The sequence below is a fragment of the Homo sapiens genome, chromosome 11 (assembly GCF_000001405.40).
Source record: "Homo sapiens chromosome 11, GRCh38.p14 Primary Assembly".
Taxonomy (NCBI): Eukaryota; Metazoa; Chordata; class Mammalia; order Primates; family Hominidae; genus Homo; species Homo sapiens.
In genome coordinates, this window is record NC_000011.10 from 8524460 (window position 1) to 8537394 (window position 12935).

Sequence of the window (12935 nt, forward strand, 5' to 3'; positions counted from 1 at the left end):
GGAATTAAATAGGCTTTTATCAAAAGAAGACATACAAATAGCCTACAATATATGAAAATGTGCTCAACATCACTAATTATCCAGGAAATGCAAATCAAAACCATGATGAACTATCTTAACACAATGTTTAAGGTTAGAAGTGGTTTGAGTTTTTATTCAGAAGTTTGATAATGTTTTTGTGACCAGAAATATGCCATAATACCATAAATATGCCATATTTCACTCTTATTTAAATCAATTCACCTATTTTGGTAAAATTGGTTTTGTTTTACTTCATTCACTTAAAGTCAAAGTTTCCAAGAACCTATCAATGACATTAAGTAAGGACTTACTGTACTTAAAAATTTGCCAATATGGTAGATCTTATGTTAAATATTTGCATCACAAAAATAATAATAATAGTAATAATAAAGATGCCAAGAGGAAACTTTTTGAGGGGATAGATATGTTTATAGCATACACTGCAGTGATGGTTTCACAGCTGTACACTTATCTCCAAATTTATTAAGTTGTACATATTAAATATGTACAGCTGTTTGTATGTCAACTATACCTAAAAAAACTGGTTTTTTAATGTGAAAGAATAAATCTAACAAAAAGATAGAACTTTAAGCAGAAAACTGTAAAGCGTTTTGAATAATATAAAAGAATATGTAAACAAATGGAAGGACATACTATGTTCATAGATTGAAAGATTCAGTATTTTTTAAATGAAGCTCCCCCTAAGCTGATCTAGGGATTCTATAAGATCCCAATCAAAACTCCAATAGGTGTGTATATGCATATGTGTTGAACAAGCTAATTACAAAATGTATATGGTAATGCAAACTGTCAAGGATAGCCAAAGACAATCTTAAAGAAGAAAAAGTGGGAGGACTTTCTCAATCAGCTATCAGCACTTACTTAGCTGTATTAGCACATATAGTATTGGTTTAAGAACAGCCAAACAGATGAAATATATAGAACAGTGACACAGAAACAGACTCATGTATATAGTCACTTGATTTAAAACAAAGATGACATTGCAAAGCAGTGAAAAAATTATAGCCTCTTGAATAAATGGTGGTGAGAAAATTACATATTCATATGAAAGGAAACCCGAATTCTATTCTACACCATACATTAATATTAATTTCAGGCGGATTATAAATGTAAACCTGAAAGGCAAAACAATAAAGCTTCCAAAAGAAAACACTAGAAGATGCTTTATGACCCTGGGGTACAAAAAGATTTCTTAAATAAAATGCAAAGACGATAAAGCCTTAAGAATTTCTGTTCATCAAAGATACCATTAAGAGAGTGAAAGGAAAAGCCAAAATGGGAAATGACATTTGCAACACGTGATAAAGAGCTTATATTTAGAATGTATAAAAACTTCCTACAAATTAATTTCAAAAGATAGGCAACATAACAGAAAACTGGAAGAAATAAAAAACTGCAAGGGGGCCTTCACAAAAGAGGATACCCAAATGCCAATAAACATAATAAAAAGTGCTAATCTCATTAGCAGTCAGGGAAAAGCATGTTAAAATCACCATAGGATACCACTACACACCCACTCACACAACTAAAGTTATAAAGGCTAGCAAAAGCAAATGTTGGCAAAGAAGCAGAAAAAAGAGAACTCGCATACACTACTACTTAAGAAAGTTATTTAGGCCAGGCATGGTGGCTCACGCCTGTAATCCCAGTACTTTGGGAGGCCGAGGGAGGAAGTTCATGAAGTCAAGAGATTGAGACCATTCTGGCCAACGTGGTAAAACCCCGTCTCTAAAAATACAAAAATTAGCTGGTCATGGTGTCAAGCCTGTAATCCCAGCTACTCGGGAGGCTGAGGCAGGAGAATCGCTTGAACCCAGGAGGCAGAGGTTGCAATGAGCCGAGATCGCACCACTGTACTCCAGCCTGGGCAACAGAGGGAAACTCGATCTCAAAAAAAAAAAAGAAAGTTATTTGGTACAACTGCTTTGGAAGACTATTTAGCATTATCTATTATCTATTAAAGTTAAATATACGCATATCTTATAACTCAAAAATTTCTCTCTTAAGTATGTTCCCAACTTAAAAGTCTGCAGATGTGCTCCAAAATACATGTACCTGAATGTTCAGAGCAGGATAATTCATAGCAATAAAAACCTGGAGACAACCCAAATGGCCATCAACAGCTGGATGAATACGATGGTATATTCATTCAATGGCTTATTATTCTGCATGTTTGAAAACAACTAGTTATCAAAATTATCAAATACCTAGGTATAAATCTAATGCAAGATGTGTAAGATATATACACTAAAAACACACACACACACAAAAAGAAAATAACTAGTTATATGTGACATCATTGATGAATATTACAAATGATACTGAGCAAAAAAAAAAAACCCAGACAAAAATATAGATACTGTAAGATTCTGTTTATATGTTAAAAAAAAAAGGTAAAACTAGAGACACATACCTAGATGGAAAAAAGAAAACAGGTAATTATTGTAAAAGTAAAGACAGAGATTTCCTCTTTTTTTTTTTTTTTTTGAGATTGAGTCTCACTCTTGTTGCCCAGGCTGGCGTGCAATGACATAATCTCGGCTCACTGCAAACTCCGCCTCCGGGGTTCATGCAATTCTCCTGCCTCAGCCTGGGATTACAGGTGCCCGCCACAATGCCCAGCTAACATATATATATATATAGTATTTTTCATAGGAACGGACGGGTTTTCACCATCTTGGCCAGGCTGGTCTAGAAGTCCTGACCTCAAATGATCCGCCCACCTTGACCTCCCAAAGTGCTGGGCTTACAGGCATGAGCAATTGTGCCCAGCCAAATTCTAAAAGATAGAGGGAAAGAAAGCTATACAAACTGGCTGGGCCCTGAGGCAGGGCTTCTGGCATGTTGACAATGTTCTATTATTGATCTGAGTGATGGGTTACATGAGTGTTCGCTTTGTGATAAATCACCAACCTGTACATTTTTGCTTTGTACATTTCTCTGTTTGCTGTTATGTTTCACAAGAAGTGAGTTTTTGTTTTTTTTTTTAACAGTATCCCAAGGTATTTCCCCAGGAAGAAAAGAGGGTTGGGGTGGAAGACATAAGTAGGCACAGTTCACAAGTAAGCTGTTCCCATGGCAAGAACTTGGAATTAAACAAAATACTGTGCTTTTCTGAGGGTTTATTTATACAAAACAATACATAGTAAACAGATGGTGGCTCTTAGACCAGAGCAAGATAACCAGAAAAATTATTATATCTAAGAAGAAGTTTCCATAGACATGAGGCATAGAGAAGAAACAGTAAAATCACAGAAGCAACCACAATAGCAATGACTATATGAGTATTTTCCAGAGGAAACAGCCCATTTACCAAAACACTTCCACTACTACATTTCCTCTGACAAGGTAATCCCTATGGTGCTATCATAGAAATAGATGCAAAAGGCAACTATAGATTATCTAATTAAATATTTGAATTATATAAATTATCCCCATTCTTATTTCATATTCCATACACAACCTTCTAGTTGTAATGTGTTTTTTCATGATGTTTACCTACAGGGAGAGAATCTACTAGTCAGGTCCATGTAAGTATAATATGCATTGGGTAGTGTTATACATGGATTTCTCACGAGCTTTGTTAGTATTGAGAAAGAAAAGTGGCTCAGAGCAGTCTGAGGAATGCGAGTTATGCAAAAGGTATCAAGCCCAGAGAGTCAGGAGCATGAGACTTCCCTCAGGTTCCCTGTACCCATGCCTGCAAGTAATTGTTTAAAGGCATTTTGTTTTTTCTTTCCTTTCCTATAGTTTCCAGACTAGCTGATAAAGTATCTAAAAAGTTACCGTAAGTTGTACAATTGTCCTTCACCATTATCCTCATATTCCTGGAACTTGTGATACAAAAAACAATGTATAGCCAAACAACTTATGTTATTTTAATGAACCAATGTAAATGATTGGTAAACAATTTAGGAACTGCTCCCTAACTTCTTGTTTTCCCACTGGTAACTGCTGCTAATCCAAGCATATACTCAGGGCAACTTCAATCTATAGCTCCTGAGCTTCAGTTTTCAACCATGGCCCAAATATATTAATTTTGCCTCAGTTTCTTCCCTTAGGTCAATGATATCTATCAGTAATCTTGAACCCAAATATTCTGAGATAAAGACAAGATAATATTTATATTCCTTTAAGACTAAAGACCAAAACCTGGAACATTAGTCAATTCACGACAGTTATGAAAAAGACCTCTTGGCCTTCTGTGGCCATATCCCTTTGTATCATGTGCACACGCTTTTCACCTCAAAGCTTTTACGGTGAATTCTGTGGTATGGCTGGAGTATACAGTGCCAGTAGGTGAGTCCAAAAAAGGCGCATGGAAGACAAACCAAAATGTTTGCATATGAGCCTATTTTAGTTTATTTAAGGAAATAACATGTGCCAGGTAGTGTACTGAACACTTGCTATAAATTACAATATCATTTAATCTTTACAATACCACTATGTGAGTATTACTAGTGTTATCATTATCCCTGTTTTTTATAATAGCATCATTATCCATTTTTCAGATGAGGAAACTAAGTCAGTATGGCTATATGGCTTGCCCAAGGTCACATACGTAGTAAACAGCGAAACTAGGGTTTGAATCCCAACAGTCTGATTCCGTCTTGTTCTTAACCATTAAACTGTTTTCTCTGCTACAGTCTAAAACTATTTAGTATAAGAGGCCATCTATTCATCAATAATATTTACAGTGTAGAGACAAAGATTCTAGGAACATGGCAGCCTGAAAACATAATTGCTGATGCTTCTCCTAACTCCAAACTAACTCTTTTACTTCCTGGGCCAGAGGCAGGTAGGGCCTAGAGAGTGTGAGTAGAACCTCTGCTCTTATGGGGTCACAGAGAAAGCTAGTGTAAGACAAATTTTTCTCTGCTAAGTCAAAAGATATACTGAGGTCTAGTGGCAAAGAGCCATAGGACAAGATTCAGAATTCAAGGTTCCTAGGAAAAGCCTGGTCTTGAGAGATTTATGGGCCCCTCTGGTAGACATAATAATGCCTCCCTCCCCCTAAGATATCCAAAAAGCTCACCCTCTGACCCTGGGAATATGTTTCCTTACATGGCAAAAAGCTGTTGTTGATGTGATTATCTGGTGGGCCCTAAGTAATCACAAGGATCCCTATAAGGAGGGAAAAAAAGGGCAAAGGTAATAGTAGGAGATGTTATAATAGGAGTCTCAGAGTGATACAGTATGAGAAAGACTCGTTAAAGATGAAAAAAAGGGACCATAAGCCATGGATCGCAGGTGGCTTCTAGAAGCTGAGAAAGGCAAGGCAATGCATTTTCTTCAAAAGCCCCGAGGAAGAACACAGGCATGCTGACACCTTCATTTTGGCCCAGTGAAACTGATTTCAGACTTCTGACCTCCAAAACAATAAGATAATACATTCATATTGTTTTAAGCCACTAAGTTTGTGGTAATTAGTTACGTGAGCAAGAGAAAACTAGTATATTCCCCCAAAAAACAGACAGAGCTGGATGTTTTTAAATGAACATGCTGGTCTTCCTGGCCCAGATGAGCTGGTGCGAGAGGGGGCGGAAAAGGTGTATGAAGTCCTGCCTGCTCCTTAGGATGGAAGAGAGGCTTTGCATCTACAAAGATGAGAATGTGGAGAGCATCACACAGTGTCCTGAAATCGAATAAGAATGTGTAGTATCAGTGCAAAATAAGTAATAAAAACCTAATAATAGTCTGAGGCAAAAATTACCACACTGGTTTTTTTTACACTTAGGTATTAAGGAAGGAGGTATTAAGCATTAAGGTCAGACATGGGGAGATAGCGGACAAAAGAGCATTTAAATGTCTCTGGTGGGGAAACAGGAAGTAAAAGCACTCTAAAATAAAAGGAAATTTACTGGTAAGGGAAGAAGAGAGGGTCCTGGTGGGGGAAATAGTTGAAATTTTATTTTCTTGTACCAGTGGAGAAATGTGTATTTATTACACATGTTGGAAAAATAGGGGGAAAAAAATCTACCACCACCACCACCAAGAATAAAAAAGAAAAAATTATTTGGAAATTTAGAAACACTTTCAAAATGCTGTGATAAAAAGAATATAAAAACTGAAATTACAAACAGAAGACAAGGAAGAGGAAAATGTTTCATAGCAAACTTAATAGGATGCCGTGAAAGCCAAACTTAAAGGAAACCTTATAGCTTCAAGCTTCAAAAGCATTTCTCTTTTATTTTATTTTATTTTTTGAGACAGACTCTTGCTCTGTCGCCCAGGCTGGAGGGCAGTGGTGCAATCTCGGCTCACTGCAACCTCTGCCGCCCAGGTTCAAGCAATTCTCGTGCCTCAGCCTCTCTGAGTTGCTGGGACCACAGGCGCCTGCCACCAAGCCCAGCTAATTTTTCTATTTTTAGTAGAGACAGGGTTTTGCCATGTTGGCCAGGCTCGTCTTGAGCTCCTGACCTCAGATGATCCGCCCACCTCAGTCTCCCAAAGTGTTAGGATTACAGGCGCGAGCCACCACACCCAGCCTCAAAAGCATTTTTTATGAGGCAAGAAAGATGAAAAAGAAAATTAGTGCTCACTTTTAGCAACTAGGATAGGAACAATTAAATACATAGAAAGTAGGAAGAAAAAAATGAATAAAGGTAAAGCTTCAATTAATAAAACTTAAACATCTCAAATTGTAAAATGAAGAAATCTAAAAATTGATCTTTGAAATGATTAATAAAATAAATACCCCCCAACTTCGCTTAAAGGAAACTGAGAGAAAAATATATAAATGATTAGGAGTATAAAAAATTCATAAATACAGGTAAGAAAGATACTAAGGCAATTATAAGACAATAGTACTTGCAATTTTGCGTGCTATTTACAAATGCTGCATAACAAACTACCCTAAAACTTAGTGGTTTAAAACAATTATTTTATTATGCTCACAGATGCTTTAGGTCAAGAATTCAGACAGGGCTCAGCTAGGCTGGGTTTGTCATGTGATTACGTTGAGATGACAGCTGGGTTGGAGCTCTGTGAAAGCTCAAATTACACTGTTTATCCAAGATGCCAACCAGCTGTCAACAGATGCTGGCGGATGGCAGGAGCTGAGCTGGGAGCTTAGCTTGGCCTATCAATGGGGATGCTCACATATGGGCTCTCCAGCATGGAAGACCCAGACTTCTTACATGGCAGTTGAGTTCCCCAGAGTGAGCCTCCCACAGAACCGGGAAAAAGCTGCATAGCCTTTTCTGAACCAGCCTTGGAAGTCAGCATCACTTCTGCCATCTTCCAGTGGTTGAAGCAGTCATAAGCCTGCCTAGACCCAAGGAAAGTAGGCATAAACTCACATCTTGATAGGAATGTCAAAAATTTTGCAGAAATGTTTTAAAACCGCCACAGCAACAAATATGAAGCCTAGAGGAAATAATTTTCTAGCAAAATGTAAATTCCCAATTATGACCCAAGAAGTAAAAAACTTGGATAGATCAAATGCCACAGAAGAGATAAGAAAAGTGATTAAAGATCAGCCATTAAAATAAATGCATCAGGCAGTTTCACAGCTGGGGTATATGAAACTTTTAAAGAAGAGAAGTGTAATATTATTTAAACCAGGGACTTTCCAATTTTAGTGAGCCTCAAAATAACCTCACCAGCTAATAAACACACATTCCTGGGCCCCATCCCAGACTGATTCTGTAAGTTCGGAGTACAGAACAGGGATCTACATTTGTAACATGCACACATGTGATGTTACCATCACTTATTCACACAATTCACTTTGAGTAGCACTGATTTAAACCAGGAGTTAGCAAACTATGGCCCAGTGGCCAAATCTGGCCTGTCGCTTGCTTTTATAAATAAAGTTTTATTGGAATACATACAGGTTTATTCATTCACTTATTATCTATCTTTGCTTTTGCACTACAATGGCAGGGTTGAGTAGGTATGACAGAGACCATATGGCCCACAGAACCTAAAATACTTGCCATCTGGCCCTTTGCCCAAAAAGTTTACCGTGCCCTGTCTAAACCACTACCTTATTCTACCTCAATTATACCTCATTATATTTTCCCTTTTCCAAACTTAAGCAGACTTTTTGGATATTCTGCTGACATATTCGCTCCATTGGTTAAGGTGCAAAACTAATATGACAAATAGTTTTCATGGCACAGGCTATCTGCACTAAGCAACAACCAAATCACTATGTTGAAGAGGATGTGAGACTGCCCAAGCTCAGCAGGAAACAACGTTGCAATTGATTAGAGATGTCTTCTACACACATTGAAAGGGTAACTTGCAGCATGCATGCTGTGTGTTTGCTAACCCTGATTATAAAATATATAAGGTTTAAGATTATTTTCAAAATCTGTTGGATAACTGCAACAAAATATGAATGTAATGCACCCATTTTTAACTGCACCATAAACAATATATCAGATTTTGCTCCAAAGGCTATGGAAGTTATTGCAATAATATGCAAATGTTTCACACTCATAAAAAAGTAGAAAAATAAAACCATTTTGTGATTTTTATCAGAGTATAATACAGACCAATTCTGTCATGTTTGTACACAAGACTTCTGAGATTGATGTCTGCTCTTGAAAGAATATGAATAATGTTTCAAATGCTATAAACCAACATTTTATCAGTTGAAAATGTCCTTATTGTCAAAACATCTTTCAAAGATGCTAACTCTAAACTTTGAGGTAATTTTTGCACATTAACACCCTTTTCCCATGATGTTAGTTCCAAAATAGTGGCCCAGAGTATATCAACAGCAGAAATTACATTTCAAGATTTGCATATTTACATTATTACTTAAAAGAAAAAAAAGTCTGTTGTTCTAGGCAAAAGAAAAATGGCACAAGAAAATATGTGTACATGTTTGTTACCTTAGGCAGAAGAAAAACTGCAGGTGAAAATTTCCAGTGTGCGTAAGCAACAGTTAAATACCAAAACCCAGTAAAGCCAGAAGTGAGCAGCAGAGCTGCCACACAGATCACTGAAGGTGGCACCAGAGAACTAACCCCAGAGGAAGGTCCTAGAAGAAAGAGGTGAAGATCAGCCAGGCGTGCCCAGACATGGAGTTTTTCTCACCACTACAGTTCCGCACGAACAAAGCCTGGCACACAGAAAAAACACCATTAATATTTAAGAAAGGAAAGAGAAAGCATGAAAAGTAAAAGGGAGGGAAGGCAGAAGTTCACAACAAAAAGCCAGTCTTCCAAAACATTCCTACAGAGCTGTGGCTCCAATTCTAAAATAAAGACCCCCAAGAATTTGATATGTAAAATAAAGTTTTATTTGTTACATGGTTTTGTTTGTGGTTTTATTTATTACATGGTTTCTCTGGTAACCCTGTATTAATAATACATAGCAAAAGGAAAGAAGGGCAGAATATCTGCTGTACAGTTGATAATATTTGTCCAGTCATGCTGGGTGAAATGTATCAACAAAGCAAGGTAACTTCAAATTGTATCTAGCATGGAAGCATTCAGAACTACAGAGTCCATGTTTATGCCCTCAAACTGTATATGTGCCGGAGCCAGTGGCTCACACCTGTAATTCCAGCACTTTGGGAGGCTGAGGAGGGCGGATCACCTGAGGTCAGGAGTTCAAGACCAGCCTGGCCAACATGGTGAAAACCCGTCTCTACTAAAAGTACAAAAATTAGCCGGGCGTGGTGGCAGGCGCCTGTAATCCCAGCTACTCAGGAGGCTGAGGCAGGAGAATCGCTTGAACCCGGGAGGCAGAGTTTGCAGTGAGCCAAGATCGCACCACTGCACTCCAGCCTGGGCAACAAGAGCAAGACTGCATCTCAAAAAAAAAAAAAATTGTTTATACGTGCATTTTTCTGAGGAAAGATTCCAGTACATTCATCAGAGTCCCAAAACAGTCCACAGCCTAACCCACTCTACTCCCCAAAAATAGGAAGAACCACACTGCAATGTTTTACAAACTATAGGTCATTTTGGTGGGCACACATTTTTAAATTAAATAGAATAGAAAGTATAAGAGTATAACATTGATCATAAGGGTATTATTTCTTCAAACTTGTTCCAGCAAGTATATATATTTCTCTCTCTCTCTCTCTCTCTCTCTCTCTCTCTCTCTGTGTGTGTGTGTGTGTGTGTGTGTGTGTGTGTCAAGGTAAATTTTTTCATACTGAGGTGGTCTGGGTCAATTTGGAACTCATTGTTCTAAGGCATAAAAAAATGGCTAGATTCAACTTTGTAACATATTAAATCATCATCCATTGAAAACAAATCTGTGGTTCCAGTGGGCATTATACTGTTTTGAGTGGCATAAGACACACCAAAATGAAATTGTTATAATTAGAGAACTGCAATCTATAATACTCATAAATGAAAGTGTATCCCTATAAAGTCCTATAGATCTTAAGGAGATCAAAGGCTGCCATTGAAAGGACTTCACACTGTCTCTGGGAAAATGTTAAATTCTAAGTAAAATGTTTAGGAATAAAAAGAGTTAAAATATTCCCCTGGGATGATAACGTCCTCTAAGCACCTTAGAAAGACGTCAGAGAAGGGGAGAGAGAGTATGGAAAGTCATCCCTAAGCCTGGTACAGAGATGAGTCTTAGGAAAAAATATTTCCTTTATACAAAATAGACGAGAGAACATGGATATTCTGCCATGACTGCTTGGGTATGAACGTGTCACCACAGTGTCTGGTACTGTCTTCCGATTTTTTCTAAGCCTCAGTATGAGAAGCATTAATGGTCCATATACTGAGTTATTGGGCTTATTTCTAAAATGTTACTAATGCACTTTACAGGTTTAAGTTCTCCCAATCAATGCAAAAATTTCAAAAGTATCACTGGGTTCTACACAGCCAGACCATTACCTCTCCCCATACTATTCATTCAACAGGGGACTAATATCCAGAATATACAAGGAACTCAAACAACTCAACAGGAAAAAAGACAGTCCCACTAAAAGGTGGGCAAAGGACATAAATAAACATTTCTCAAAAGAAGAGCTACAAATGGCCAACACATGTGAAAAAAATGCTCAATATCACTAATCATCACAGAAATGCAAATCAAAACCACAATGAGATATCATCTTACCCCAATCAGAATGGCTATTATTAAAATAAAAAATAATAGATGTTGGCAAGGATGTAGAGAAAAGGGAACTCTTATAAACTGTTGGTGGGAATGTAAACTAGTACAGCCACTATGGAAAGCAGTATGAAGATTTCTCAAAAACTAAAACTAAAAAAGAATTACTATCAATGCAGTAATCCCACGACTCAGTATCTACCCAAAGGAAAAGAAACCAATATATCAAAGGGATACTTGCACTCACATGTTTATTGCAGCATTATTCACAATAGTAATGATATGGAATCAACCTAAGTGTCCCTCAACAGATGAATAGATAAAGAAAATGTGGTATATATATACTAGAATACTGGAATGGAATACTCTTTGGCCATAAAAAAGAATAAAGTCATACCATTTTGCAGCAATATGGACATAACTGGAAGTCATTATCTTAAGTGAAATAAGCCAGGCACAAAAAGGCAAATAACGCATGTTCTCACTTACATGTGGGGGCTAAAAATTTGATCACATGGAGGTACAGAGTGAAAGGTAGAGAAGAGAGACTGGAAAGGGTGAACGTGGGGAGGAGGGAGGATGAAGAGAACTGAATTAAAGGGTACAAACATACAGTTAGATAGAAGAAATAAATTCAATGTTTGATAGCAGAGTAGGGTAATTATAGTTAACAAAAATGTATTGTACTCAGGTGATGGACACCTTCAATATCCTGACTTGATTACTGCACACATTATCTACATGCAACAGAATTTCACAGGTATCTCATAAATTTGTACAAATTTTTTAAAAGAACATGAATTTCCAAAGTGAAAGAGCCCAGAGACTTCAGAGCAAAATTAATTTTTTTAAAAGATCCACCTCAATAATCACCGTAAAATTTCAGAACACCAAGAATAAAGAGAAGATTGGTCAAGGAACTTCACAATGGAAGGAACAGGCTGATACCACCTGAACAGATTAATCACTATTAGCCTCACTTAAAAGTAGGACAACCAGAAACCATTATGTGCTCATGATGTAATACAATAGGAAATACAAAGCACCAGCTATGAAGTTTTATTGTTTAACAACTGAAGTAGAATTTAGTCAAGTCTGAACCTAAATGCTAGTAAGTTTTTTATTCAATTGTTGTATTTTTCACTACTAAAATTTCATTTGGTTCTTCTTCATATCTTCTATTTCTATGCTGAAATGTCCCTTTTTCTTTTCTTTTTTTGTTGTTGTTTATTTGTTGTTTGTTTGTTTGTTTGAAGAGACAAGGTCTCACTCTGTTGCCCAGGCTGGAGTACAATGGCATGATGATCATAGCTCACTGCAACCTTGAGCTCCTGGGCTCAAGCAATCCTCCTGTCTCAGCCTTCCAAGTAGCTAGGACTATAGGCATGCACTGCCATACCCAGCTAATTAAAAAAAAAAAAAAAAAAAAGATTTTTTTTTTTTTTTTTTTTTTTTTTGTGACAGAGTTTCACTCTGTCACCCAGGCTGGAGTGCAGTGGCTCCATCTCGGGTCACTGCAACCTCTGCCTCCTGGGTTCAAGTGATTCTCCACATCAGCCTCCCGAGTAGCTGGAATTACAGGCACCCGCCACCACACCTGACCAACTTTTGTATTTTTAGTAGAGATGGGGTTTCACCATGTTGGCCAGGCTGGTCTCGAACTCCTGACCTCAGGTGATCCGCCGACCTCAGCCTCCCAAAGTGCTAGGATTACAGGCATGAGCCACCATGCCTGGCAGGGTCTTGCTATGTGGCCTAGGCTGGTCTGAAACCCCTGGCCTCAAGTGATCCTCCCACCTCAGCCTCCCAAAGTACTGGGATTACAGGCGTAAACCACCATGCCTGGCCCCCGC

At 37.7% G+C, this 12935-nt stretch overlaps 1 protein-coding gene across 51 annotated transcripts in view, besides 1 other annotated feature; it reads right to left on the reverse strand.

Annotated features, from left to right (window-relative positions):
* The window catches only part of STK33 (serine/threonine kinase 33), a 259405-nt gene that overhangs the window by 189636 nt on the left and 56834 nt on the right, over window positions 1–12935 (reverse strand). The window contains exon 2 of one of the 51 annotated variants that reach the window (NM_030906.4): window positions 8889–9037. The exons of the other annotated variants lie outside the window; for them this stretch is intronic. The gene's annotated coding sequence lies outside the window, so the exon portion shown is untranslated. The remainder of the gene's footprint in view (window positions 1–8888; window positions 9038–12935) is intronic. 51 annotated transcript variants of the gene reach the window in all.
* Window positions 9020–9239: an enhancer, noted in NCBI's record as "active region_4385". NCBI's record gives its function as "activates an Ori minimal core promoter by ATAC-STARR-seq in GM12878 lymphoblastoid cells {active_cell/tissue: GM12878}" and the evidence as "EXISTENCE:reporter gene assay evidence [ECO:0000049][PMID:35858748]".